A 27211-nucleotide genomic window follows, 5' to 3' on the forward strand; every position below is an offset into this window, starting at 1 on the left:
GCTGGGACTACAGGCATGAGCCACAGTGCCTGGCCCTTTTTACTGAATACTTCTAACCAGATAATGACTTCAAGTCATTAGGCTGAACTACTATCCCAGGCATAAACTCCAGGTAACCAAAAGAGATGAAGGCTGCTGAACTTCCATTGCTATTTGTTTATGAGTTTTTTAGTAGTGAATCCTTGCAAAATGCGTGCTGAGCAAATTTCCATTATGCTGACCCTTGTGGGTGGATTACAGTTTCAAAACCATAGTAGCTTCCTGTTGTCCTCCGGAATCTTAACTCCAGTCCTCTGGCTCTATATTTTTTTAAGTGGGCAGGTTGCTCAATGGAGTGATCTGATAGGGGAGCTCTTGCTGGAATAATGGGGTTCTCAGTGGGGTTGGTACTGTGCCCAAAGAGGCATTTGAAAATTTGGGAGAGCAGTTTTCTGGTCATCACAATGATTAAGTGACTACTGGCATTTAGTAGGCCACTGCCCAGGGCAGTCCCCATGATCAAGAATTGCCTGAGTCCCACACAACTTTGTTTATCCCTCTGGACAATACCTAGGTGAAAAACCTGTTTTTAATCATCTAGAACCTTAACAAACATTTTGGTCTGTTTGTTTTGGGGTTTTATTTTGGTTTGTTTACTTTAACATACACTGAATTTCCAAAGAATGTCACCACTGTGTAAATCAAGGGAAGAATTTTCTTCATTGCACTGGAACTTTATCAAAGGATTGTTTAATATTATAACATACCCTTAGGAGTCTACATTTGCAGCTGTCACATTCATGGGGATTTTATATGGGTCCAAGCATCGGAGCACTTCCTCATGTCTAGTAGTGTGGTCATTCACATGTTGAGGCACACAACTTATTGTAAGTTTCGATCATATCTCTCTTAACTATTACAGTTAAGAGATACGGATTTGTTTGCACTTACGTATGCATCTAGGTTATATTATCTCTGAATTTCACTTCAGGCAGGTAAGGAGGCATAATAAGTAGTTTTACAAGGGGCGTTGGGTCTGGCAGGTCAGATGATTGCCTCCTGTGCACACGTGTAGGAGACAGCATATGCACAGCAGATACACAGTACAGTAGTGACTGCACAAAACCAGAAGGGGAACCCTGCCCCAAGCACAGCCCGGCTTCATGATCGTGTTGCAGATAATGATCCAGTTGCTGCCTCGCCCTGTGAGCAGCTGCAGGAATCAGTCTGGCTGAGGGCGTGCTTTTCTCTGAGTCGCTGGAGTCAGCTTTGGCTTTGATTTACAAAAGCTGGCAATTTCACTGAGTATACGACAGATCAACAGCAGCCTTTTCCCGTGCAAAACACCTGGGAGAACTTCCTAATAGGCCTACCACACGGCTGTCACTTAATGAATATGTAACGGAAGTACAGTTTGATGGAAATAGGAGATTCTGGCCTATTTTTTCTGGGTTTTAGAAGAATGCTGATAAAATTCCATACCTCTGGCTTGGTTTTCCAACCATAAAGATGTTCCTGGTCTAACATATTATCCTCATCATCATCAACATCGCCATCATCATTATCAAAAAAGCACAATTTTGCCAAGTGTCTAATAGCTATTCATAGCAGCAGTGCCTGAGACTGCTCATCTTGATAATGCTGACTACGATCATTACAATTTTTATTATCCAACTCATTTATTCCACATTCAACAAATGTCTGTTGAACACCTAACCTATTATTTGCCAGAGACTGTGCCAGGAATGAATAAGCATATGTAGTTCCTACTTTTGTAGAATTCATAGATCCAGGGAAGAAATCAATAGTAATAATTACACAATTACATGTGCAGTTATGGCTAATTTAATTATGAAACAGGAGAAAAATTCCTTGGACACCCCCTAGGTACCTGAACTCTTCATTTTTGCATCCTACCCCCCAAGTTGCTTCTCCCCCAAAATCTGATCTGAGTTGTCTGCACAGAAAACTGAGTCATCCTAGCAATCACTTTTCTAACTTCTCATTCTTGACACCTAATTAATCACTGAGTGCTACTAATTTTACCTCCTCCACATTTTTCTAATGCCTCCCTTCCTCCCTATCCCCACAACCCTGTTTATCATCTGGCTGGACATTTGTAACAGCTTTGTAACAGGTCTCTCTGCCTTTAGTCTTGGCACTGGTGTTGATCAGGATTCAGTCGCAGAGAACAGAATTCACTCTATCCAGCTTAAGTAGATGGTGATTTGTTACAAGGTATTAAATGGCTTACAGAATTGCTGGAAAAGCTGAAGAAGCAGGTGGAGCTTTTGAAAATGGCTTTGGGAACCACATTGCAGAAACTGAGTGCATGGGATCTACTGCCTCTTTTATAATCCAGAAGCTGCATGTCAAACAAAGAAGCTTATGCCTGAGCTGCCAGCTCCAGAACCATGCCTCCATTGCCATAATCAGATGCCAGCGTGCTCAGAAAGCCATGGCAATTAGGAAACAGCCATGATTCAAAGAAACTGTGATCATGAAACCACGGCAGAAAAACCCAGCGCCTCTGTGAGCAAGGGGACCAGCAGAACCCCCAGGGGTGCAGCCTCGCTTCCACCTTCCAAATCCCGGGCAAATATTTCTGGTTGATAAAACCTAAATCATGTCCAGAACCCAAATTACACCCTAAAGGTGTAGTTTTGAGCTTCCTAGCTGCTGCAGAACTGCAGTAGAGGAAGGCTCCCTAGGAGAACTTTGAGATAGACATGGAGTGTGAACTGCTGTGATGGTTAATTGTAGGTGTCCACATGACTGAATTGAGGGATGGCTAGATGTCTGGTGAAGTGTGGCTTCTGGGTATGAGTGTTTCCAGGGGAGACTGAAGAGCGAGTCAGTGGATTCAGAGAGGAAGACATGCCCTCAATGTGGGCAGGCACCCTCTCATCGGCAGGGGGCCCAATTGGAACAGGCAGAAGGGAGATCTCTCTCTCTTTCTCTGTCTTCCTTCTGGTGTGGGATGCCTATTCTTCTCCTATTGTTGAACATCAGACTCCAGGTTCTTTGGCTTTCAGGCTCTGGGACTTGCACCAGCAGCTTCCCAGGGGGTTTTGGGCCTTCGGCCTCAGCTGGGGGCTTTACCATCTTTTTTTTACCTTTTGTGGTTCTGATCCTCCCAGACTTGGATTTGGACTGAGCCACACTACTGGCTGCTCTGGTCTTTGCAGACAGCTTATTATAGGGCTTCCCTTCCTCTTTGCATCAATTCCCTAATGAATCCCCTCTTGTATATCCTATTGGTTTTGTCTTTCTGGAGAACTCAGACTAATACAACCATGTTCCTCTTCAAGTCACCAGACTGATGTTTCTGAAATACAAATCTGACCATGTCATTCCTCTGCAGAAACTCTTTCCATGGTTCTCCATTGGCCATAAAATAATGTGCAAGTTCCAGCCCTCACATTTGACTCTCTTGTGACACCAAGGTGCACTCTGTGTGCTCTTTCAGGACCCATGTCCTTGTTCATGCTGTCTCCTCTGTCTGGAGTGCACGTCCCACCTCACCAGACAAACATTTACTCATCTGAGACTCAGGTCAGGCATACTAGGAAGTCCTTCTTGAATTGTATGGGCTATAGGTTACCACTGCAGCTTTCTGGACATGCCTATGTCTTGAAATCACCTGCCCATGTTTCTGTCTACACTATTATGTGTTCTCTGGGAGCAGTAACTGGGTGTCATTCATCTTTGTATTTTGAGTTTCCACACAGTGCCAGCTTCAAAAACATGCTAAATAAAAGTTTGCCAAACTGAAATGAATGATACTAAACTGTGTCTTCAGTTGAGTTACCTAGGAACAAGACTCAAAGGAAGAGTTCGCTTGCAGGAAATTTACTGGGACTGCCCTGGGACTCAATCCCTACAGCAGGGCAGGGAGAAAGAGGAGGAAGTGGAGGAATCAAGTCTGGGCATAGGGAGAAGTTGGATAGTGATGCAGTCGTGATGAGACCCCAGCTAGCTCCACAGTGAGCTCAAGAGCTGAAAGTCCCTGTAGAGCTGTCCTACCCTGAAGTAAGAGGTCCAGGCCTCTATAACCCCGTCAACTAGTTATTGGATGTTGTCTCCTTAGGGTCAATAGCTCCCTTCAAGTGGGGGGAAATTACTGCAAGGTGACTGCATCAACCAGAGTTTGGTCTCAGGAGAACCATTCAGTGGGAAGGTAAATGGAAAAATGGAGGGATGGATCGATAGATACATAGGTAGGTAGGTAGATAGATATATGGATGGATGGATGGATAGATAGATAGATAGATAGATAGATAGATAGATAGACAGATAGATAGATAGAATTGGAAATTTACTTGTTAAAGGGACATGACCTATGCAATCATTGGAACTGGTTATATAGTTTATCTGAGTCTGTTGTTTCTGTGTCTGGTGCTCAATCCTGAAGTCTGCAGGATAGGCAGTCAGAAGAGAAGACGGAAGTGAAGTGGAGAATGCAGGACAAACTAGAACCTGTGAAGCTGAGCTTCAACCCAACAGGATGTGCTGAACCCATGCCAGTCTCTCTATCTAAGGCACCATCTTGGCTAATGGCTGTGTGGAGAAGCTGGCACCCTTCGTCATGGCACTAAGAGCTGTCAGCCACCAACACTCCCAGTGTCTGGGGAAACGAGTGCCCTAGGACTGGAAAAGGGGATTGGGGTGGAGTACCACAGCAGCCACTCTATGATGTTGTTCACAGACCAGCACTTGGCAAGGTTCATTTTTTCTAGGGCCTCACATCCCAAGAATGACAAAATCTAGCTTGTGAAAACAGATAAAGCACAGTCAGTGAATATCAAATAATGCAATAAAAATAAAACTAGTTAATAAAAATCTTACCCTCATATGCTATGAAATTTCAGGTGGGTAGAAAGAAAATAAGGAACATCCAGGGACCAGAGAGAATTTTTAAAGAATTCACAAGATTGAAGGTGATAGTGAGAGGGAGGTCTGAGCTGTGGGGAAATGGGCAAGGAAACAAATTATAAAAATGTATGATGTGTTGTTGTTTTCATGGAGAATATACGAAGTAGGCTTTGAAGGATGAAAGTCTGGACAACACTAACTTAGAAATTCTGCCAATTAGTTGTGCATTTCCAGAAATCTATTCATTCTTCTTTTCTTTCCCACCTTCCTACTCCTTGGCCTTCGTCTTAGTCAAGGATAGCACAATGTTGCTCCTTCTCACTCCTTGCCCATGGCAGACATCACTAATCAATTGTGGCATTCCTTCCTGGGTGCCCAAATAAGATCTCATAATCCTCAGCATTGTATTCCAGGTAGCCACTGCCAATTGATGGTATGGAACTTAATAGCCATGCCTGCTCATAATCCATTGCATTCGTTTATACCTGACTTACAATTTCTTCTAAAAATGCCTGTTTCTCACACCATCTTTACCTGCTATAACAGACCTAAAACCCATGCCTGAGAACAAAAATTCTAGGCTCTATTCTGCATCCCTGGCCTTAATAAAATGAGGCAAAGTGAAAGGATTTGAGGCTTTTAAAGCCTGTTTCTCTGGCTATTTCACCATAGAACAGTCCCACTTCTTAGGGACATAGATTTAGGAAACAGGATCAGTACTAGCAAGAACAAAGGAAAGTGTGGCAAATAAATCCACCTGCCATTCTCAGAATAGAAACTATTCTTGAGAAGCAGGTTTTAGAAAGAAATTGGGGGAAAGGAAATATAAAATAACTATACATGCAAAAATGGTAGGGAAACTTCTGTTTTCATTAATAACAATTATGAAGAAGAGCTACTTATAGTTGTACCTTGCTTTCAGCAATGGATGCATATGAACTGAACTTTCGTAAATCAATCTATTGGCTTAGATGCTTGTTTCAGAATCCTTCATATCTGATTTATTACCTTAGTGCCTTAACAATGCATTAATAGTGCATTCCTCTGGCCTTGGTTCCCAATTAGTTTTCTGTAAGCAAGCATTTAAATGTTAAGGAATGTTAGGAAATCTCTTTGGAAGGCAAATGATTCAATTGAAGTGTAAGTAACCCCCTCAGTTTATCTAATATTGATATTACCTGCTGCTATTGTAGACATTTATATTTTTCAAAGTGCTACCACACTTAAATGTATTCGATCAGCCAAATGACTCTGTAGGGAGAGTGTGGGGTGGCCGTGGCTCCCACTTTCTGAAGAGGAAACAGGAAGTGTGTTTCATAAGTGCTTTGCTTACTGGAGTTCACATGGGTAGTTAGTGAGAGTTAAGACTTGGTCCCATGTCATCTGACACGTGGCCAAAACTATGTTTCCCATTAGCATGTACTATGTCAAGTGTCATGTCTGCTTGCTTATTTTTTGAGGTGACATCAGCTATATCAAGTTCTCTGAATTCAAGTATATTCCAAATGATCTGCTTATTGAGAAACTGAACTATGGTGCTATTCAATAGTTCTCAATATTTGGTGTTCATCAGACTTATCTAAGATGCTTTTTAAAAATGCAGGTGCTAGGCCGAGGCAGGCAGATCATGAGATCAAGAGATCGACACCATCCTGGCCAACATAGTGAAACCCCATCTCCACTAAAAATAAAAAAAATTTAGCCAGGCGTGGTGGCGTGCGCCTGTAGTCCCAGCTACTCAGAGGTTGAGGCAGGAGAATCACCTGCACCTGAGAGATGGAGGTTGCAGTGAGCCGAGATCATGCCACGGCACTCCGGCCTGGGTGACAGAGCGAGACTCAGTCTCAAAAAAAAAAAAAAAAAGCAGGTGCAGAGACCCACCTCAGACCTGTCAAATCTGAGTCTCTGGGGTGGTGGCAGGGAAAACATCTGCGCCTTAACAGGCTTTCCAGCCAATCCTAAAATACAGTCATGTTTGAAAACCACTGGTTAAACTACCTACATGGCTTCAGATAAGCACACATGACCATCATAGGCTTAGATAACACAGTAGCCAGACTCAGAGAGTTAACATGCAGCCATCGGCTAGAGATTATACGTATAGACTAAGTACATCATTGTATTTGCAGTACACAGACTGATCTTGGACTTTGTCCACAGGAGTATGATGAACAGAAGGACCAAAAGGATTTTGATTACGGCACTGTTTGCCACTACAAAACCACAAAATGGCTTTTCTCTCCACCCTTATATACATGCCAGGGGAAAAGGACATGATCGTCACTGGGACTTTCTCAGAGACCTTCAGGTAGTAGGTTCTATTAAAACTTGAGGAAGGTCTCGGGGGTCAACTTCTGGGGAACCTAGAATGCGGCAAGAAGAATGCAATTCACCAACCCCAATCCTCATCTTCCAGGAAGGCTTCCTAAGCCAACTTGCAGTCTTCTTGCATGCGGGTGGGCCCATAAAATTAGTTCCCACAAATGGAATGTGAGAGGAAGTGTGGCCTATTATCTGGGTGGTGGGAGCAAGGTTGCCTTCTTCATGTGATCTCTCTTCTCTCATCTTCTGGTTACAGAGAATACAGTAAAGAACTCTCTCAGCCTCAAAGGGAATGTCAGAGACTTGAGTGGAAGGAGCCTGGGTCCCTAAGTGGCTCAATGGAGCAGAGCCCATCCCTCACCTCCCCCAGCCTCCAACTTCATTGGGCTGTGATGTCAGTGAGGTTAGAGAAAAGTAAATTCTGGTGGGGAAGGGGAGTAAAGCTGCCTGGGCTTTGGGGTCATTTGTCACAGCAGGTAGCCTGCCCTGCCTAGCACAGACAGATGCATGCCTTATCCTCTTCCCAGATGTCCACCTGGCTCCAGGTGCAATCTCATGACCGGAAGGATACATTTTTACTGTCTTACACCTACACTCTTCCCCGTCCTTTTTCAGCACTTAGGAATCAACTCTTTCCTCTTCCTCCTGGCTCTTTGGGACCTACTCTAGTTTTCTAGTCTGCCATTAAATTTTTCCTGGAAAATGTTTACCACAATTAAGCATCAATACAAAGCCTATTTGTCCTCTACTCCTCTGCTGACATTTTAGTTCAATATATAATCAAAAGGGAAGAAAGCAAAGGGCAAAGTCCTCTGATGTGAGTTTCCAACATCTGGTGCCCCAAGGTACGTAAAGGTAGAAGGCAGCTGAAAGCTGACAGTCTCCTCAGGGTTGCCCTGTCATCCGTCATCCGCAGAATCCATCTTCAGCCCCCAGGTGGGCTTAAAGGAAGTCTCCGAGGCCAGATGTGTACCAGCAGCTGCTGGTGGAAATTGCATTTGGGAAGGCTGTTCTTCTGTTAACCCCAAACACTGTCTTCTCTGGAGCTTTTGGGTGTGCTGTCACATCAGGTGTAGCGGAAGGGAACACACTTGGTGGGCAGAGAGGGCAGGGAGAAATGCTTCAGGTTCCCACCACTTATAAGCTGTGTGATATCCGGTGACTTTATTAACCTTTCTGGGCCTTAGTTACTGGATCCATAAAGTAGGAATGGCATTAGTAGCTACCTCCTAGTTCTGTTATGAGGATTAAATGAAACAATACTTGCAAAAGGCTTAGTGCCTGGCACCTAACAACTGTCAGTAAATGTGAGCAATCGTGGTGGCAATTGTGCTTGTGGTTGTTGTTATTAGAATATCTGGTTTCTTCTGCTCCTGAGTTTCTGGTGATTGTCCAGCTCTTCTACAGGAACTCCATGCCCCCCCAAGTATGCTGAACTACAGTTTTCTTGATTTTAGAGATAGAAGGGATGATCTTCGCAAAAACCTCATTGTAAAGGTAAATAAAGGGCCTACAGTCTAGGGCTGTGAAAAGACATGCTTTTGGTCTCTCAGTGGTTCCACTGCAGTCAGCCCTAGAACCGAGGCTTCTCCTCCAATATCCTTCCTGCCTCCCCACTCTTCCAGTGGGCTTTTCCTACAACCCTCAGGTTCTGAAACTGGACTCCCTGGGTTCAAATCCTGGTCCTGCCAATTCCCAACAGTGTAGTCATAGGAAAGGTCCTTAACCTCAGTGTGCCCCAGTGTGACCTTGACTACAAAGTGGGGAGAACAATTGTCCCGGCCTAGGATGGGCATTAAGAGGACAGAGTGAACTGTGTCTGAGTGTGGGAACCAGGCCTGGCCACCCAGGCCCATGATATTCCACTGAGCCACCCCTGCCTCTCAGATGGGACAAAGTTCAGGACACATTAGCCCCCAGCTCTGCTGACTTGGTGTGTTCCGTGGGCCAGGGCTGACCCATCAGCCTCATCGTCTTTAGCATTTCTAGCAAGTGTTCCCTAGCAGCTCTGCTGAGTGGCATGGCCTAATCCTGCCTGCCAGCTTTACAAAATCAATCTCAAACCACTTCAGGAGGGCGACCAGCCAGGATTTAGCAGTCACTTCTAATGGACGAGAAAATGGAGCCCCGTGTCCCCTGGTGTGTGCTGAGTCAGTGACACAGCACCGCTTGGGAGCCAGGGGCCACTCCTAGGAACGCCACTCCCCCCACACAACTCTGGCCTCACACTTCCAAGCTTGGATGCCCCTGGTGAGCTCAGGCCCAGAATCCCACACTAGAACTCCCAGGACCTCAAGCTGCTGTGACTGTCACAGATGGAATGTGCTGCATTCAAAAACCTGCAATGGAGTCCACAGAACTCCCTGTCAGCAGAAAATCCTCCCTCGCTGCAAAGAACAAGGTGGCTGTGGGGTGACTGGAGGTGAGAGGGAAAAAATCCTCCCACAAACACTGTTAATCCCTATTTGATAGAGAGAAGAGGAAAGGACTCTCATGGTAAGACACATCAATTAGATTCCCATCCTTGCCCCTGGAAACCTCTGGGAACTGAATGTGATCCTTGGGAAAGGCAGATTGGAGGGGTCTTAGCAAACTTGCTCGAATCATTAAAGCAATCACAAGTGGGCACTGGGCTGGAGGTTCCCAAAGAGGAAACCACAGGCCCCAATTCTCCTTGCTCCTGCCTCAGCCCTACTTCCTAACCTCCTCTTCTCCAACAGTGAGCTGCCCATCAAGCCTCCACTCCAGTCACTCCCGTGACCCTGCAGAAAAGGAAGGCACCAGGGCCCTAAGGGAGAGAGCAGTACTTCAAGCATTTCTGCTGTTCCAGATGCCTCTATCTCCCTTTCCCCCTGCCTCTCTCTTTCTCTCTATCTCTCGGCTTCGACTTTTACATTAGGGTCAGCCGCCTCATTCAGTGACTACATGAGGAGAGTCCTTACCCGAGCCCCAGTCTTCCTCCCCTGTCTCAAGTCGAGGAATGCAGACACCTTGGGCAGCCTTTCAGACAGCGTCTCCGCAGAGTGATTTGTGGCCTGCGCAGTTGGGGCAGGATCATTAAGTATGTTGATGATGACAGCCCGTGAGCGTGTCACAGGGTTACTGAGCGTTGGGACAAGAGTGTGGGGGCTCTTCTAAAGGAAATGAAAACAGCTATTTTCAACCTCATCAGCTCATCTTCCTCCTATGAAATTTCAGCCTTACAGCAACAGCCCCAAACTCCACACTGAAGCTGCCTCCTTCTGCTCTCCTCCCCTCTGAAAGGAATGCTTTCCCTAGGCTGAGAGTGCAGGTGGCATTTTAGGTGCTCAAGGGTAGCCCTTTGACATGGGCATGATTTACTGGACCTGATCCTGGTAACCTCCAGCTCTCGCCTGCCCCATCCCTCTTTTTTTAATCAGTGAGACTGGATTATGATTCTGCTTAGAAACAATGGTAAGCCATGTGGCCCCCATATCAAAGTAATCCCCAGGCTTCAGTGGCAAATAAAAAGCCGTCTCCAAGGAGGCCTTGAAATGGCAAGGCTTGCAATGTGATCTGCAGTACAAGCTCCTGCCTGGGCATCTCCCAGCACTGAGTATTGTGGGAGATTTGTCAAAAAGAAGGGGGAAGAGAAAAGCCCATGACAACTCCAGAATTGTTTCGGTTTTGTTAGCAAAGACAAGATAAGCAAAACAATCTCTATCAAATTCGATTAATTCTTTTCTTGCTATTAATTCTTTTCTTGCTAATTCATTTAGCCGTGTTTATCATGAAGGCTGAGACATCAAATCTCAGGGGGCAGTGCTCCCCTACACCACACTGAGACGTTGTTGCACAATAAGGAAGCAAGTCATCCTGATCAAGGTCACCTGTCCGTCACATGGCACCTTGAGAGCCACTTCTCCTTGGGAGTGGGAGTGAGGGCTGGTCTGAGTCACTTCTCATTCCTCGCTCCTGAGATTGCGTGGTGGTGGCAGCCAGCAGCTGGCTTTCTGCTCTCTGATGCCAAACTCTCTTCCCTGCCTGGCTGCATAAGAGAAGACCTCCTCACCCCGCCTCCCCAACCCCCTTGTAATAAAGGACTTTTGCAATTGAAAAGCTAGATCCTCTGTCCATAGAATTTTCTGAGAATATTGTAGCATAGAACTTTTTGCCCAAGGCAGCTGAATGTTAAAGACATTAGTTAATTAAGTCTCAGAATACTGTCATCACTGTCTACTTCCTCTCATGCCAAGAGACTAAAGAATACAGTGCATCCAGCCAAGTCCAAAGAAAAAGACAGCAGGGAATGAAATTCTCCAACCCTAATATTATTCAGCACCTTAAGTCTTATTGAGGTGCCTGAGAATGGGGCTGCCTTGGGTCAGGTGGGCTATACCCAGGACTCACTTTGGAAGACCTCAAAACAAACCAGGCCCTGCCCCTTCCTAGCTGTGTGAATTTGGGCAAGTATCCCAGTTTCTCTGAGCCTCAGTTTCTGCATCTGAAGAATGGAGCTCTTAATACCTACTTCATAGGGTTGCTGGAAGAATGAGCTATAAGAATATATGTGAAAGTGCCATTGAAATATTTGTACCCATAGAGTCTAATGGGGCCTCAGAGGGGCAGGTAGCTTACTAAGACTTCTTCAGCCTCCCTAAGAGCTAGGAAACAGCAACAGATGCTGACTGAAAACTCTAGAGTCATCCAGAGGTAAAGGTCACTCTACAGATGGTATATGACAAATATACCATTGTTTTCAGTCCTCTCCTGCAGGAAACAACAGAAACTCTTTTTAAGCATCTTAAAACACACACACAGAACTCTCTTCAATAGTGGTTAGCAAGCATCTGTATGTGTTCCTCGTCATCAGGTTTCTAGAAATCTAATTGCTGAAGCTGATGTCTCTCTGTGAAGTAAGCTGATCTGCTCAAGTGTCCCCTTTTGCTGCTTTGACACCTCCACGGAGCTGCCCGGTGCCATCCGCGGCTCGTGCAAACACTCTGCTCCAAGATTATGAGCGAGTGACAGCACAGCCTTTCAAGGTGTGCTAAATGAGAAATGTGCAATTTAGGCAGAGCATTCACATGTTTGAATGGAGGATGGCAACTGTCGAGGCTGCCGGCATTGAACGGAAATTGATGTTCTGGTTGCTATCTACCTAGCAGAAATGAGTTCTGGGAAATCAGCCTCAGCAAGAGGGACAGAGGAGCAGGTGGACAGAGGAAGAAAGTGAATCCTCTTGAGAAGAGTTTCCCCCTTTGTTACTTTCACTGTCCTGTGCATCTCTGCTGGTAGTTTGCTTCGTGGGTCTTTGTGGGCGATGGCTTTGTGAATCCCATCCAGCCTCCACTTCAGAGCATGAAGGAGCAGATGCATTAACAAAGGAGGGCAAGGGATGCGCTACAGAGACACAAGTTTCTCACTGAGAAATGGAGATTTGAGGACAGCAGGGGGTGTGCCTTGAGCAGAAGGATTTTGCAAGGAGAGGAAGCCTGTGACTATTGTCAGGGGAGATACCCTTTGCTTGTTTTAGGTTATATGTCCCAGTTATACTTGGAAGAGAAGGAAGTGGCATCACAGGGTGGAGGAATGCCTTTGGAACAGTCCAGCAATTTCCCACTTCTAACAGACCCCGTTCTGGGACACAAGGAGAGCCCAACGACCCAGCGAGATGCTGGGTTCAGCCTGGAGACCGACTGGCTGAATCCACATGCATCTCAGATAAAGCGTCTCAGATAAGGGACCACTCTGTCCCTGCTCAGGGAAGCAGGGAAGCAGACAAGCTTTGCTGTGATTGCCAAACTTAAAAAGGCTGTACCTCTCCAACCTCTGTGTGTTTCAACAGCAAAAGAATCTTCAGCCATCAGCCCTGGCCTTGTGCTTCCACTGAGCTCTGGGTCCCTTTGCACTGCCCTCATTTGATGATGACTGTTTTTATATCTGTCCCTCATGTAACAGAATGAAAAGCACCCCAGCAGAAGCAGGCCCTTATTTTTAAAAAGTGACCCCAATAAATCTCATGTATCATTCAGTCACCACAAACCCTGAGGGGTATTTGTTCATTCTCAACAGGTCTTGGCTTTAGGTGATTGGAGAGAGAGGGAAAAGGGGTTTCATAGACCTCTTTGGAAATCTGATAAAAGCTACAGATACCAGGGCAGAAAAATGAACACACATGCTAAAAGTTGTATATAATTTCAGGAAGTTCACACTTTCCTCGAACTTCAGATTAAGAAACCCTACTCCAGTTGTTTCCAAAAGTAGGGAGGTGCCTAGATCTCTGTCACCCATCCTTGGACCAGAAGGACGTTTGTATAGAATTAGAGAGGCACTGATTCTCTACATGCAGCCCTCTTCACTTGGACAAGGTGAATGCCCTCTTTGATGCTTGTCTCTTTGCTGTTTATGGAAACAGTGCTTTTACCTGGTAACAGAGCGTAGTGTGTGTGTGTGTGTGTGTGTGTGTGTGTGTGTGTGTGTGCAGAGAAAGGCATCAAGATAAAAAATCGCCCCCTCACCCATCAGAAAACAATGGACTCTGATAGAAATTGGTTTTTCTTTTGATTTAGAGCTTTAAAAATCAAAATATAAACTACATGTTCATGGACTGCTTCTTAAAAGCTCTCCAAATGGTTTTATGCTGCTATTCAACATTATCCACATCCACACACACTGTCGAATACCTACTATTGGGTAATGCCTTTTTCTTGAAGGTTAGTTCCCAAGTGAGCTGTAGAAAAATGTTCATGAAATACCTAAGGGCATTGAGATTTCTGGTCTAGAGGAGAGGATCACCTAGTGATTTTTTAACTGCCCCTACACCACTTGTTAGAGGAATAGGGATTCAGCAACTCATTTTTTGGCTATAGATTCAGAACTCATAAAGGTAAGGTGCCATGATTTTATTGTTTGTGACCACCCTCCCAGATTCATATATTGAAATCCTAACTCCCAAGGTGATGGTATTAGGAGATATTGCATTTGGGAGGTTATTAGATCATGAGGGTGGAGCCCTTATAAATGAGATTAATGCTCTTATAAAAGAGGCCCCAGAGAGATCCCTGGTCCCTTCTGCCATGTGAGGACTCTACGAGAAAATGGCCTTCTATGAACCAGGAAACAGGTCCTCAACAGACACCGAATTTGCCAGTGTCTTGATCTCAGACTTCCCAGCCTCCAGAACTGTGAGCAATAAACTTGTGTTTATAAGCTACCTAGTCTAAGATATTTGGTTTGTTTGCCCTTTCTAGGGCAGCTATGTTTAAGCTGGATGCTCAGAGAAAAAGAGAATGCAGGGAAAGAATGAATAGACCTGTAGAGAAAAGCAGAGGCAAAGTGCCATGTGGACAGGAAGAAAGAGCGAGCAACCTTGGTGTCTGTGGCTGGCTAAGGAGATTCTGTGCAAGGATGCCCACCAACAGTCCTCCCAACCCGGTGCGTGCATGCTGCTCTCCCCATCAGGAGGTGACGTCTGTTCACCTGCCCTTAAATTCAGCTGGTCTTATGATTTACTTTGACCAAGAGAGTGTGTTGAGAGTAATGCTGTGTGATTTCCAGGACAGGCCTTAAAAGACCTTGCAGTTTTCATTTTCACCCTCTTGGAAGCCGATCAAATGTAGTAATGCATGGCCTTGGTTTCTGAACTATAAAGACCATGTACTGAGAGAGAATTTATGTGAAGGAGAACTGAAAGGTCCCAGCCCACAGCAAAGACCAAGCCCCAGACATGCAAGTGAGTCTGTTTTGGATGCCCCAGGACAGTCTAGCTACCTTAACTGACACCGTCAGAGGGGAGAGACCCAGCCACACCAGCTTGACTAAGGTGTTTGAGCCATTGCATGTGAAGTCCCAGACATGTAGAGAAGAGATGAACCATCCATCCTAAGCCCTGCCCTAGTTCCTGGCCCATAAAAATCACAAGAAAATAAAGTGGTTGTTGCATTAAACCACTAGGTTTTAAGGTCATTTGTTGCACTGCAGGAGATAACTGCTACCCAATATCCCTTTCTTTTTCTTCTTTACCAGCAGAAACAGATTGTATGTGAAGTCACAATTGGCCTACTAAAAAAAAATGCTTTCTCAAATCAAAATTGCAATGAGATACCATCTCGTGCCAGTTAGAATGGCGATCTTTAAAGAGTCAGGAAACAACAGATGCTGGAGAGCATGTAGAGAAATAGGAATGCTTTTACATTGTTGGTGGGAGTGTAAATTAGTTCAACCATTATGGAAGACAGTGTGGCAATTCCTCAAGGATCTAGAACCAGAAATACCATTTAATCCAGCAATTCCATTACTGGGTATATACCCAAAGGATTATAAATCATTCTACTATAAAGACACATGCATACGTATATATACTACAGCACTATTAACAATAGCAAAGACTGGAAACCAACCCAAATGCCCATCAATGATAGACTGGATAAAGAAAATGTGGCACATATACACCATGGAATACTATGCAGCCATAAAAGGATGAGTTCATATCCTTTGCAGGGACGTGGATGAAGCTGGAAATCATCATTCTCAGCAAACTAACACAAGAACAGAAAACCAAACACTGCATGTTCTCACTCATAAGTGAGAGTTGAACAATGAGAACACATGGACACAGGGAGGGGAACATCATACACTGGGGCCTGTTGGGGGGTTGGGGGGCTAGGGGAGGGATAGCATTAGGAGAAATACCTAATGTAGATGACAGGCTGATTGGTGCAGCAAATCACCATGGCATGTGTATACCGATGTAACAAACCTGCACGTTCTGCACATGTATCACAGAACTTAAGTATAATAAAAGAAAAAAAAAGCTTTCTCATCTTTCTTTCAGTCATGGATCACCAAGTGGCTAAATTCTAGCCAATGAGATATCACTGGGTGGAAACTCTCAGAGAGCTTTCCAAAAGGTTAGATGTGTCTAACATTCCTTTTCATTTTATGTCCCTGTGTCTTTTTCCAGATTAGGATGCAGACCTCCTCCTTTGATGATCAGCAGCCACCTTGCAACCATTCAAGGGTGGACAAAAGCTCCACCCCTGAATTCCTAATGACATGGATAAGTGCAACTTTTGAAATTATTTCATGAGAAAAATAAGACTTCTGATTGTTTAAGCCAATATAACTAGTTGTTGGGGTTTAGTCGTTGTTTTGTTTCTTTTTTATTGTTTATTTATTTGTTTTGGTTGCTCGCATCAAGCACATTTCCAATTTACATATTGTAAATTCCAGGCCCCATTGGAATTTGCAATTCAAGACTCAGCTGCATTTCAGCCCTTGGATTCTGTGAGATAACTCGGTATCTTAATACTTTTTATTATTTTCTTCACCTAGCTTGAGTAGGTTTCTGTTACCACTAATTAAGCAATCCCTCACCAAGACAAGGAAGCTTGAGTTGAGGGTACAAAGGGAGAGTTTTGCAAGGGTGATGCTCTCTTTTACTGAAGACAAGGCCAGAGACTATTTCTCAGCAGCCAAAGAGGTTAGGGCTATGACCTACTCAGGTTATGAGCCATTGGAAAGATTTCCAGGGGTCTTTGAACAACCTCCTTCCTTGGAAATCATCTGAGTAGGGTGGGCAGCTGTTTTTGGGGGCTGGGTTAGTTAGGTATGGCCCTCCCTGTAGACAAGCACATCAGAGAGGTAATCTTAGATGTGGAGATGCAGTTTCTTTGTATGGTCAAACACGCAGCTCAAGCAAAGAGCTAGAGGCACTCCTGGCCCTCTGTCTGTACTCCGGTGAGGCTTCAAAGAAGAAATTGCCAAGCTAAAGGGAGCACAGGCATGGTCCCTTCTACAGGTATTCTCTGTCCACAGGCTTCAGGGCTGTACTTAATGGTGTAGAATGGAATCATCCTATTCATTACTGGTTTCTTTGAAGCATCTTCTTCATAGCAATCCTCCGGTTGCAGATTTCTTCTTTCCTGACTTACTGAAGCAGCGGATATGATTTTTAGATCTGACTGCTCTTGCCACCTGCGGTGGAGGTTGATGCTGGGTAAGGCCATGCTGACTGTGCTGCTGCAGGCCCTGGGTCCGTTTTGATGTGGTTTCTGGGTAGCACCATTTCAGCCCTCCTGGGGTGCTTAAAAAAACCCAGAGCCAACTGCCATCCACAGCAGGTGGTGGGTCCCAAGTTACTGCTGCTCCCCATGAGGAGAGAGCACTGTTCTCTGCTTTCCTGCTTGCAGGATTGTTCCAGTTTAGAAAAGGCCCACAGAAAATCAAATGTTCATTTCCTTCACAGAACAGCTGAGAGGCTCTCTTTTTCACACAACCACGAACTTCCTTCCAATAGAATTATTGATACTTAAATGTCATCTCAATGGTAGCAGAAATTTTTCACTTGTTAGTGATTTGGGGGCTGGGAAAAGGTGGGGAAGCAGAAAATTTGATAGTTCTTTTTAACATGCCTTATACGAAGGCATTTTCTGGAAGATGTTGGTTTGTTACTATCCAGCATTTGACCCCAAAGAGAAAATTGCATTCTGATGGAAAACTAGGAATTCATTTCTGAGCACTAAATTGTAGACATTTATCTGGAAAGATGTTCAACATGAATTTTTAAGTGAAAAAAGGTGGGTTGCAGGACTATGCATAGCACGATCTTAATTTTGTCTAAATAAAGAAAGAGAGAAAGGAAATGAAAGAAGGAAAGAGGAAGGAAGAAAAATCATTTTAAAGTTATAATTCTGTATATCCAAAAAAGACCATAAAGGTTAAATATTAACAGTTGTTATGGTATTTATTTGGGTGGGATTATTTGTGATTTCTGATTTCTTTTACTTACTTTTGTCTATTTTCCAGATTTTCTATAATGAACAGTAAAACATTATTAGAAGTATTATTTTAGCTGACATTAATCTTGCATACCATTTCTAAAAACCTTATATTGTTGTTTCTTACAATATTAACCTATACATGGGTTTTCCAACTATAGCTAGCTATCTATTGTTTTTGTTATTGAGCACAACAAAGAATGGAACAGATAGGGCACGTAAATAATTCAAACTATCTTAGAATCTTGTCTTCCCTCTTCCAAGATTATTTGTAAGTTTCCAGATGAATTTACTACGGTTCTATTACTAGTCATGTCTCTTCATTCACTCACCAAATAGTTTTTGAGCATCTACTATGCGTGGTGAGCTAGAGAGAAACTGTGGCTATGAGACACTGTCTCTCTAGGGCCTACTCAGAGTGGATGATGAGTTCCGTCCTGAAATCTAGTTTCTGCTGAGGGTCAAGGTCACTGGAGTGCATGTGAAAAAAATGTGCTGAGACCGTGTGTGGGCTCAGGGGGAAAGAAAGCCATGGTCAACTAGGAGGCTCTGCCATAGCTGTAGGAAGAAGAAATGAGGCAGGTGCATAGGAGATTGGCCAACCTTGGTGATGTTTATGGTCAGGGAAAAAAAGGAACACAGGAATGGAACAAAATAAGAGGAAATAATGTGAGTAACCTATGTAAGAAATACTCGGCCTTTGACTAAGAGAAAGCTGGTGATATGGTTTGGCTGTGTCCCAATCCAAATCTCATCTTGGATTGTAGTTCACCTAATTCCCAAGTGTTGTGGGAAGGACAGAGTGGGAGATAATTGAATCATGGGGGTCATTTCCCCCATACTGTTATTGTGGTAGGGAATAAGTCTCATGAGATTTGATGGTTTTATAAGGGGAAACTCCTTTCACTTGACTCTTATTATCTTCTCTTGTTTGCCACCATGTGAGACGTGCCTTCACCTTCCACCATGATTATGAGGCCTCCCCAGCCACATGGAACTGTGCCTCTTTCCTTTATAAATTACCCAGTCTCAGATATGCCTTTATTAACAGCATGAAAACAGACTAATACAGCTGGCCTTTGCCCTCCCCCGACTCCCACCTCTAAGGCTGCTGGTTTTCCAATTTGCTTTTCCTGTTCCCTGAAGTTCTGCATAGTCACTGAGAGCCTGGCCTGCTAAAGTATTTGCCCTTCCTTCCCCTTTTCTCCCATATCTCCATCTGAAGGGAATAACTTTGAAGGCAATGATCCTACAGGACCTTGATCCACCACAGCCCCTCTAGCATCCTATCTGCACCTGGATAGTATAGCTACCCACTGGAATCTTGTTTCTTTTTCATTCAAGAAAGCAAAGATCAAGTTTAAGTGTACTATTTTGACAAAAATAAAATAAATTTGAAAATGCTGGGGATATGTGGTTTGCTGATTCCCACCTTTACAGCCACAACCACTTACAAATCTTTCTAATGTTTTGTCAGATTCTGGATCCAATACCTTGCAGTCATGCATAGATGCCCATAATGGTTATTTATGTTCTTGGTGAGTTTATTCTCCCATTCTGCTAGGGTCATTTATTTCCACAGGAGGGTGATACCATACAATATTGGTTTTCATGAGGTGCTGCACTGACATTTTTGTACTGCAGGAGGAATGGGGGCTTAGGGAGGCAGACCAAGTTCAAGGGTAACCAGCTTAGGAACACATCAGAGCTGAGGAACCTCTCAGGCCTTTATCCATAGGTGCACCTTAAGTTGGTTTTGTAGGCAAATTCTAAACAATGGGTTAAAAAATCATTTGCGTAAACAGAGTGGGGTCCCGGGAGGGAGTGGGATCCTGTGGAAGAGGACAAAAGAGAGACAGGTACATTGGGTGTAACTTTTATTGAAAACAATTAGCATTTCAGTGGGTTTGCGGAATTCAAACCTGTGTTGTTCAAGACCAATTGCATTAACAAAATTATGTGTAAGGCTGGTGTTGGGGGCACATGGAACCAGCACTTGCTATGAAAAGTCCAGGGGGCTTTCCAGTGGGTAACAGGAGAATAAACCTGAATGTGTAACTTCTGTTTATGATGACGGTGAACAAGAGAATGTACCCTAATTTAAGGCAGAACGCCCTCTTATCTCTGCGCTTGGCTCATCTCAGCCTTCAAACAGTAGTAGAGTCTGAAGTGAGGGAAAATGAGAAATTATACTAGTAAAGAAAAACCTGGGAGGCTGAGGCAGGAGAATCGCTTGAATCCAGGAGGCAGACATTGCAGTGAGCCGAGATTGTGCCACTGCACTCCAGCCTGGGCAACAGAGAGAGACTCCTTCTAGAAAGAAAGGAGAGGAGAGGAGAGGAGAGGAGAGGAGAGGAGAGGAGAAGAGAGGAGAGGAGAGGAGGGGGAGGGGAGGGGAGGGGAGGGGAGGGGAGGGGAGCGGAGGGCGAAGGCCCATGAGTGAATAAACTCAGTGACTTTAAGGGTTCCTTGGGAAAAGTGAAAAAGCCATGAAGCTCAGAAGAATTGGGACACATGAAACCTCTATCCAGTTTGAGACATAACCAGTGGGATGAATTCCACCTCGGCCAGCTTCTTGAAAAGCTGGGGTGCCTGAGGAAAAGGGAGATTTTTCTTTCATGGAGTAAATAGGTAGTGTAGGTTAATGTTTGATGGGTTGTGTGAAATCCCCAGAAGTCTCAGGGCATTAAACACCACAGTAGATTAAACGACACCAATTGCCATCATATTACCGTGAGAGAACGATTAAAGTGTAAACCATCACAAGGAATTTGAGTGATCTACATGACTCAATCAGCAAAGCAACCACACCATGAGAAGCTTTTGAAGCTAATGGAGAAGCATCCCTGCATGCCAAGTAGCAAAACGTCTAAGTTACAATTCAACCTGCTCCAGGAGCTCAGGTGCTCTTAAGCCACTCGACATAAGTATATATCAATTCCTAAAAATTAGTGCTGTGGTATCCTAATAACTTACACTGGAATAGCTCTTTGCAGACACTCAATATAACAGTTTTTATTAAAAAGTTGACACATATTATTGCAGAGCATTTCTCCTCCAATGACAATTCATAATAAGTACAGAAAACTCACAACAGAGAAAGATCATGTTTAATAAGCATTTATTATGTCCCCACAGCATGCCATTGCTGAAAAGGATATAGACATAGAAAGGAACTTTACACTCAACTAAATTAAAATCCAAAGAAAGGAAGAGTTGACCCTTGAACAACATGGAGATTGGGGAGCCAACCTCCAATGCAGTTGGAAATCCAGGTATAACTTTTGACTCCCTCAAAACTTTACTAATAGCCTACCGCTAACTGGAAGGCTTACTCATAACATAAACAGTCAGTTAACACATATTTTTAGGTGTTATATGTATCATATATTGTATTCTTTCCACAAAGTAAGCTAGAGAAAGGAAACTGTTAAGAAAATCATAAGAAAGAGAAAATATATTTACTATTCACTATGTGGAAGTGGATCATCATAAAGGTCTTTATCCTTGTTGAGTAGGCTGAGGAGGAGAGGGAAGAAGAGGGATTCTTGCTGTCTCAGGAGTGGCAGAGGTGGAAGAAGTGGAGAAGGTGGAAGGGGAGACAGGAGAGGCAGGCACATTTGTGTAACTTTTATTGAAAAACAAAATAGCATTTCAGTGGGCTCGCGGAGTTCAAACCTGTGTCATTCAAGGCCAATTGCATTAATAAAAATTATGCATCAGGCTGGTTGTGGGGGCACATGAAGCCAGCACTTGTCACGAAAAGTCCAGGGAGATTTCCAGTGGGTAACAGGAGAATAAACCTGAACGTGCACCTTCTGTTTATAATGAAGGTGAACGAGAGAATGTACCCTCCTAGCTTATTTTCTTCCCGTCCCACTCCTGCAGGAATAGAATTAGAAATGCAGCTGCATATAGATTTTTTTTGCATGTAGGCAGTTATTTCTAAGATAGTCTCCGTTGGCCAACCTGTCCTGATGACATTTCATATAGAAACTGTAAATGTCCTTGCCTCAATAGAGAGTCCTGATATTACCCAGCTGACATCAACACTGTGGCTTCATTGTGTTCTTTCCATCAGAGTTTAATTTCCTCAGTCAAACACAACTCCTGATAAAGAACCACCTATCACTCTGCCCAATTCCTCTGACCTATTTTGACCAAATGAAATAACATCTATATTGAACGTGGGTTTTTTTCCCTGACCAGGCAAATCTTCAGAGGAGATGCTGGCGTGCAGTGCAATCTTTCCAAGTTTTTCATGCTATAACCTGCGGTCCGTCTTGCAAATTAAGTATGATTTGGTTTGGTGGAGTTGATCTCTGGGACATTGTCCCCATTCTGCCTGAATTTTCCCTCCACCATTCTAGTCCTCCTCCGCGTCTGTCTCAGATAGTCCCTCACAGAGGCAGTACAGCTTGGTGCAGAGAATATGGATTTTGAAGGCCAGTTGCCTTGGGGTATAAGTCAGGCACTGATACTTACCGGTTGTGTGGCTTTGGGCAAGTTACTTTACCTCTCTGAGCATAGATCTTTTCCGTGTAAAAACAATAATTCCTCCCTCAAAGGGCAGTCAGTTCCAAGGCTTACATGAGATAATACTTGTCAGGTTTTAGACACATAATTGATAATCCATGTCAATTGCCACTGACTTGCCTCACTGACAATCCTGGGGCCCAGGACCAGGTTCCCTACCCTCACTTGGCTTTATCACAATCAGTTATTGGGTGTTTTTTGTTTTGTTTTGTTTTGTTTTGTTTTGTTTTTGTCTTCAAAGAAAGAATGTAACAGTTTAATGGATATAAAGGATAAGCGCACAAAATACAAACATTTCACTTTATTTTATATTTCTAAATATTTATATACTCTGCTTACATATAAGAAAAGGTAAATTCTGAAGCAGGCTGAGAATTAAGTAACTGTAAAATTTTTTTAGCAGAAAGTAATTTGGATACCAAGACTAAGCTGAAAAAAAACAAGATCTCACTCAATATTACAAAGGGAAAGAATGTTTTTGATGCTCCATGATCAAAGAGGGAACCCAGAATGATTTATAAACATGTTTGTCAAACTCTAACATATGTGGAAACCACCTGAATATTCACTGGATATTCACAGTGGGTGCTGAATAGTAACCTGCATTTTAACAAGCCCACCACGTTTTTTGTTGTTGTTGTTGTTTTTGATGTAGCAGGACTAAACTTTGGTAAACCCTGACTTAGAAAGGAGGCCATCATTAGAAGAAAAGACCAGCGACGTAACCCAGTATAACCCAGCAGCCAAACAATGTTTCCCATCTCTTTCTTCTCCTCCTCCCCTTCGTGCTTTCTCCCCTTTCTGTCTCTGTCTGTCTCTGTCTCTCTGTCTCTCTCTCTCTCCCAGCTCTGGCTCAACCTTGATGCTGGGGAAAAATGGAAATGTAATTGGTTTCCTCACGTATACAGTCAAGGTGGGGGTAGAGGATTGGGAAGAAGGATTACTCAGCATCATTTGCTAAATGAGAAAACCTGTGGCAATCAAGAGATTCCTTTCTTGGGAAAAGTTTAAATCTACAGCCCCAGAAAAGCTGCACAAATTAACTATCCAGTGAAACTCCCAGAATTTCTAAGAGTCCCAGTCAAACATGGGGGGTAGGCATGTAAAAGGAGAAGATAAATAAATTCGAGTCTAATCTAAGACCACGGAAAACAAGACTGAGTTAAGCAAGGTTTAAGACGAGTCAAAGATTAGGGAAAAGGCACCCAAATCTACATAAACACTCATACATCTCCAAAAGGGTGTTTCACGCACTTTTTAAAAGCTGTGTATATTAGTCACAATAGGCTAGATTATACGGCAGCGATGTATCAACCCCTAATCTCAGTAGGTTAAAACAGAAAAGGATTATTCTAACTCATGCTGAATATCTATCTAAGGGTGTCTGAACACTCTGCTCTGTGCCATCCTTGTTTGTCATCCTCATCCTGGGACCCAGGCTGAGTGGCCACTACTTGAAGCAAGGCCAGTAAACATGGCAAAACAAAAAAGAGAGGGGTGAGGGTGATCTGGATGGTCCCGCATTGGCAATGAAATGTGCCAAACCAGAGATATGTGCTCATTGCCCCAGATCAGTCACATGGCTCCACCCAACCATTAGAGGCCAGGAAGGACAATGCTACCATGCACCTGGAAGGGGGAAGAACCAGAATTATTGGTGGACAGCACTAATGACAAAACAATGTGGCACCGTGGCACTTTTTTATTCAAATAAAATATTATGCAGGACCCAAAATATGAGATATGTTTACTGGAGCTGCTCTGATTCAAGCTGAGAGGAGAGGGCGAGGTTGGAATTCAACCCCCACCACGAGACCCCTCCTCAGGCAGCCCCTGACACATCTCTGAGGACCCAGGACTCCTGGAGGCAGTTTGATGACCACTGCTCTAAAACACGCATTGCATTGTGTGTCTTATGTAAGTGCTGTTCTCTATTTATTGATGATTAATTGTTTTAATAAATGATTTTATTCTAATGGAAAGGTTTAATTAAATAGAAAAGCATTGTTCTGTGGCAAGCCTTTCTGTTTGAAACGGATGGTTACAAACAAAGCCTTACTTTTTACATATCATAAATGCAGACAAAATACTTATTAGAAAATAAACAACTCTAAAAATAGCCTCTGAACTTTACACCCTGCTCAATAAAATGAAGCGCACACAGAAGCTGGTTTCAAAGAGTACCCGTGCTACAGCATGCGTGACGCTCAAGGCCATTATGCTGAGCGAGATGAGCCAATCACAAAAAGACAAATGTCACAGGAGTCTGCATATGCCAGGTATCTAGAGTGGTCAAATGCATAGAAACAGAAACTAGAATTGATGTTGCCAGGGGTGGAAAAGTGAGGAGTTACTTAGTGGGCATAGAGTTTAGTTTTGCAAGATGAAGAAAGTTCTGGAAATCAATTGCACCACAATGTAAATACTTCACACTACTAAACTATACACTTAAACATGGTTAAGATGGTACATTTTATTATATATATATTTGAGATGGAGTCTTGCTGTCACCTAGGCTGGAGTGCAGTGGCACAATCTTGGCTCACTGCAACCTCCGCCTACCAAGTTCAAACGATTCTCCTGCCTCAGCCTCCCGAGTAGCTAGGATTACCAGTGTGCACCACCATATCTGGCTGATTTTTGTATTTTTAGTAGAGAAGAGGTTTTACCATGTTGCCCAGGCTGGTCTCAAACTCCTGACCTCAAGTGATCCGCCCATCTCAGCATCCCAAAATGCTGGCATTATAGGTGTGAGCCACCACACCCAGCCAATGCTATGTATATTTTACCAAAATTTTTTTTTCAAATAAACTTAAAAATGAATACCAGTGGTTCCTCATTCTTGAATAAAACTTTACTTTTCATTATACCTGTTCACTAACTAACATTTAAAACACTTTTCTTCCTTTCTACATCTCTAATTACAATTGAATTAAAATTTAACCTTCTGATCATAACAGAAAACATGCTTAAAGTCCAGTCTTTATTTGCTGTCATCTTCACTACCCCATCCTAGATCAAAATAAAATATTTAACTTGTTTTTGCCCAACTCTGTCTGGTAGGAAAGTATCTTACCCTGCTATTGACCTACCCATGACTGTAATGGGTTTGCACCAGGGTCTTTGGAAAGGCCGTAGTTTTTGAGCTTTTCTGGCCCAGATGGGAAGGAGATGCTGCCGTTTTCAGAAGTTCTGCCTGACGGTAGCTTAGTATCTTAGGAACTTGCTGAACTTGCTTTTGTGGAGGCTGGCACACTCTGAAGTCCTCCACCAGAAGGATGAATGGGCTGTGGAGCATGCACAGAGTGGTGGCTAGAGGGGCACACACTGGGTCAGCATCATGGGGGGAGCGTGTGTTGGGGAGAAGCACACAGCTCTGAGGTCCGAGGAACCGGTGATCTCAGGAAAATTGCTTAATGTTCACCTTCAGTTTCCCCACCTATACAGCAGGAATTAGCTGAAATCTAAGGGTATATGAGAATTCATTAACTTAATAAAAAAAAAACATATTGAGCACATTATGTGCCAGGCACTGTGCTAGGTGCTGGGAATATATCAATAAACAAAACAGACCAAAATTCTATACTCATGGAGCTTGGATTCTTAGTTGAGAGAGACTGTCAATAAATAAATAAGTAAAGTATATGACATGTTAATGGTGATAAGTGCTATGAAGATAAATAGTGTGCATGGGTGATTGTGTGTATGTGTGTGTATGTGTGCACATGTGTGTGTGTGTGTGTAATTTTAAATAGGATGACCAGGGAATTCCTCACTGAGAAAGAGATATCAGAGTAAAAAAAAAAGACATAAAGACATAAAGGAGGTGAGGGAGCAAGCCTTGGGGATATCTGGCAAAAAAAACATATGTGCAAAGGCCCTGAGGCCTGCGTGGCTGGATCAGAGCACGAAGCAAGCAAGTGGTAGGAAGTGGGGTCAGAGCAATGCCAGCAGGTGCAGAGGTAGATTGCTCAGGGTACTATAGGCCATTGCAAAGACTGAATTTTACTCTGAGTCAAAAGAGAGGATGCTGGAGCAGTAGGGAAGAATATGCTCTAACTCACATTTTAACACTATCTTTCTGGTGCTCTGTTGAGAGAAGAGTGAAGGCAACAAAGACAAAAGAAAGGAAGCCTGTCAGGAAGCTTCTGCAAGCATCTTTCCAGGTGAAAGATGAAGGCAGCTTGGAGCAAGGTGGTGGTGGTGGAGGTGGAGAGATTAATTCTAGTGAAGCACTCACTACTGTTTCTGGCACAGAATAAGTGTCCAGTGGGTGGTGATGGTGCTTATTATTATTAACAAAGTACATGGGGAGAAGTGGGAAGTCAGGGGCAAAAGAAAGCCACAACATTCAGTGTGCCAGACATTATCTGAATAAAGGGAAGGCAGAGCCAGAAACGTAGGATAATGACAGCCTGGGTATCAGGGGTAATCTCAGAGGCACTATTTTGGGACCAGAATAAAAGATTGTTCTGAGCTTCAAAGGCACCATGCGGGTGCTGCAGCAAGGGATCTGTCCCTGAGCCAAATCCTCCAGAGAAGCAGAGAATTAAGAAAAGTCAAGGTCAGCTAGGAGACTATCTGGATTCAGAGACACAGGAGACTCAAGAGTTGAGGGCATTTTGTTTGTTTATTTTTATATACCAAGATACATAATGTAGAAACCTCCCTGGTTTCTACATGGAAGCTAGAAACCACATAAGCACCTAAATACTATATCAGAAACACTTTAATTTAGCTAAATCAATATAAAAAGG

At 43.6% G+C, this 27211-nt stretch overlaps 1 annotated feature.

Annotated features, from left to right (window-relative positions):
- Positions 10946-11015: an enhancer, noted in NCBI's record as "active region_22028". NCBI's record gives its function as "activates an Ori minimal core promoter by ATAC-STARR-seq in GM12878 lymphoblastoid cells {active_cell/tissue: GM12878}" and the evidence as "EXISTENCE:reporter gene assay evidence [ECO:0000049][PMID:35858748]".

This window comes from Homo sapiens, chromosome 4, assembly GCF_000001405.40.
Source record: "Homo sapiens chromosome 4, GRCh38.p14 Primary Assembly".
Taxonomy (NCBI): Eukaryota; Metazoa; Chordata; class Mammalia; order Primates; family Hominidae; genus Homo; species Homo sapiens.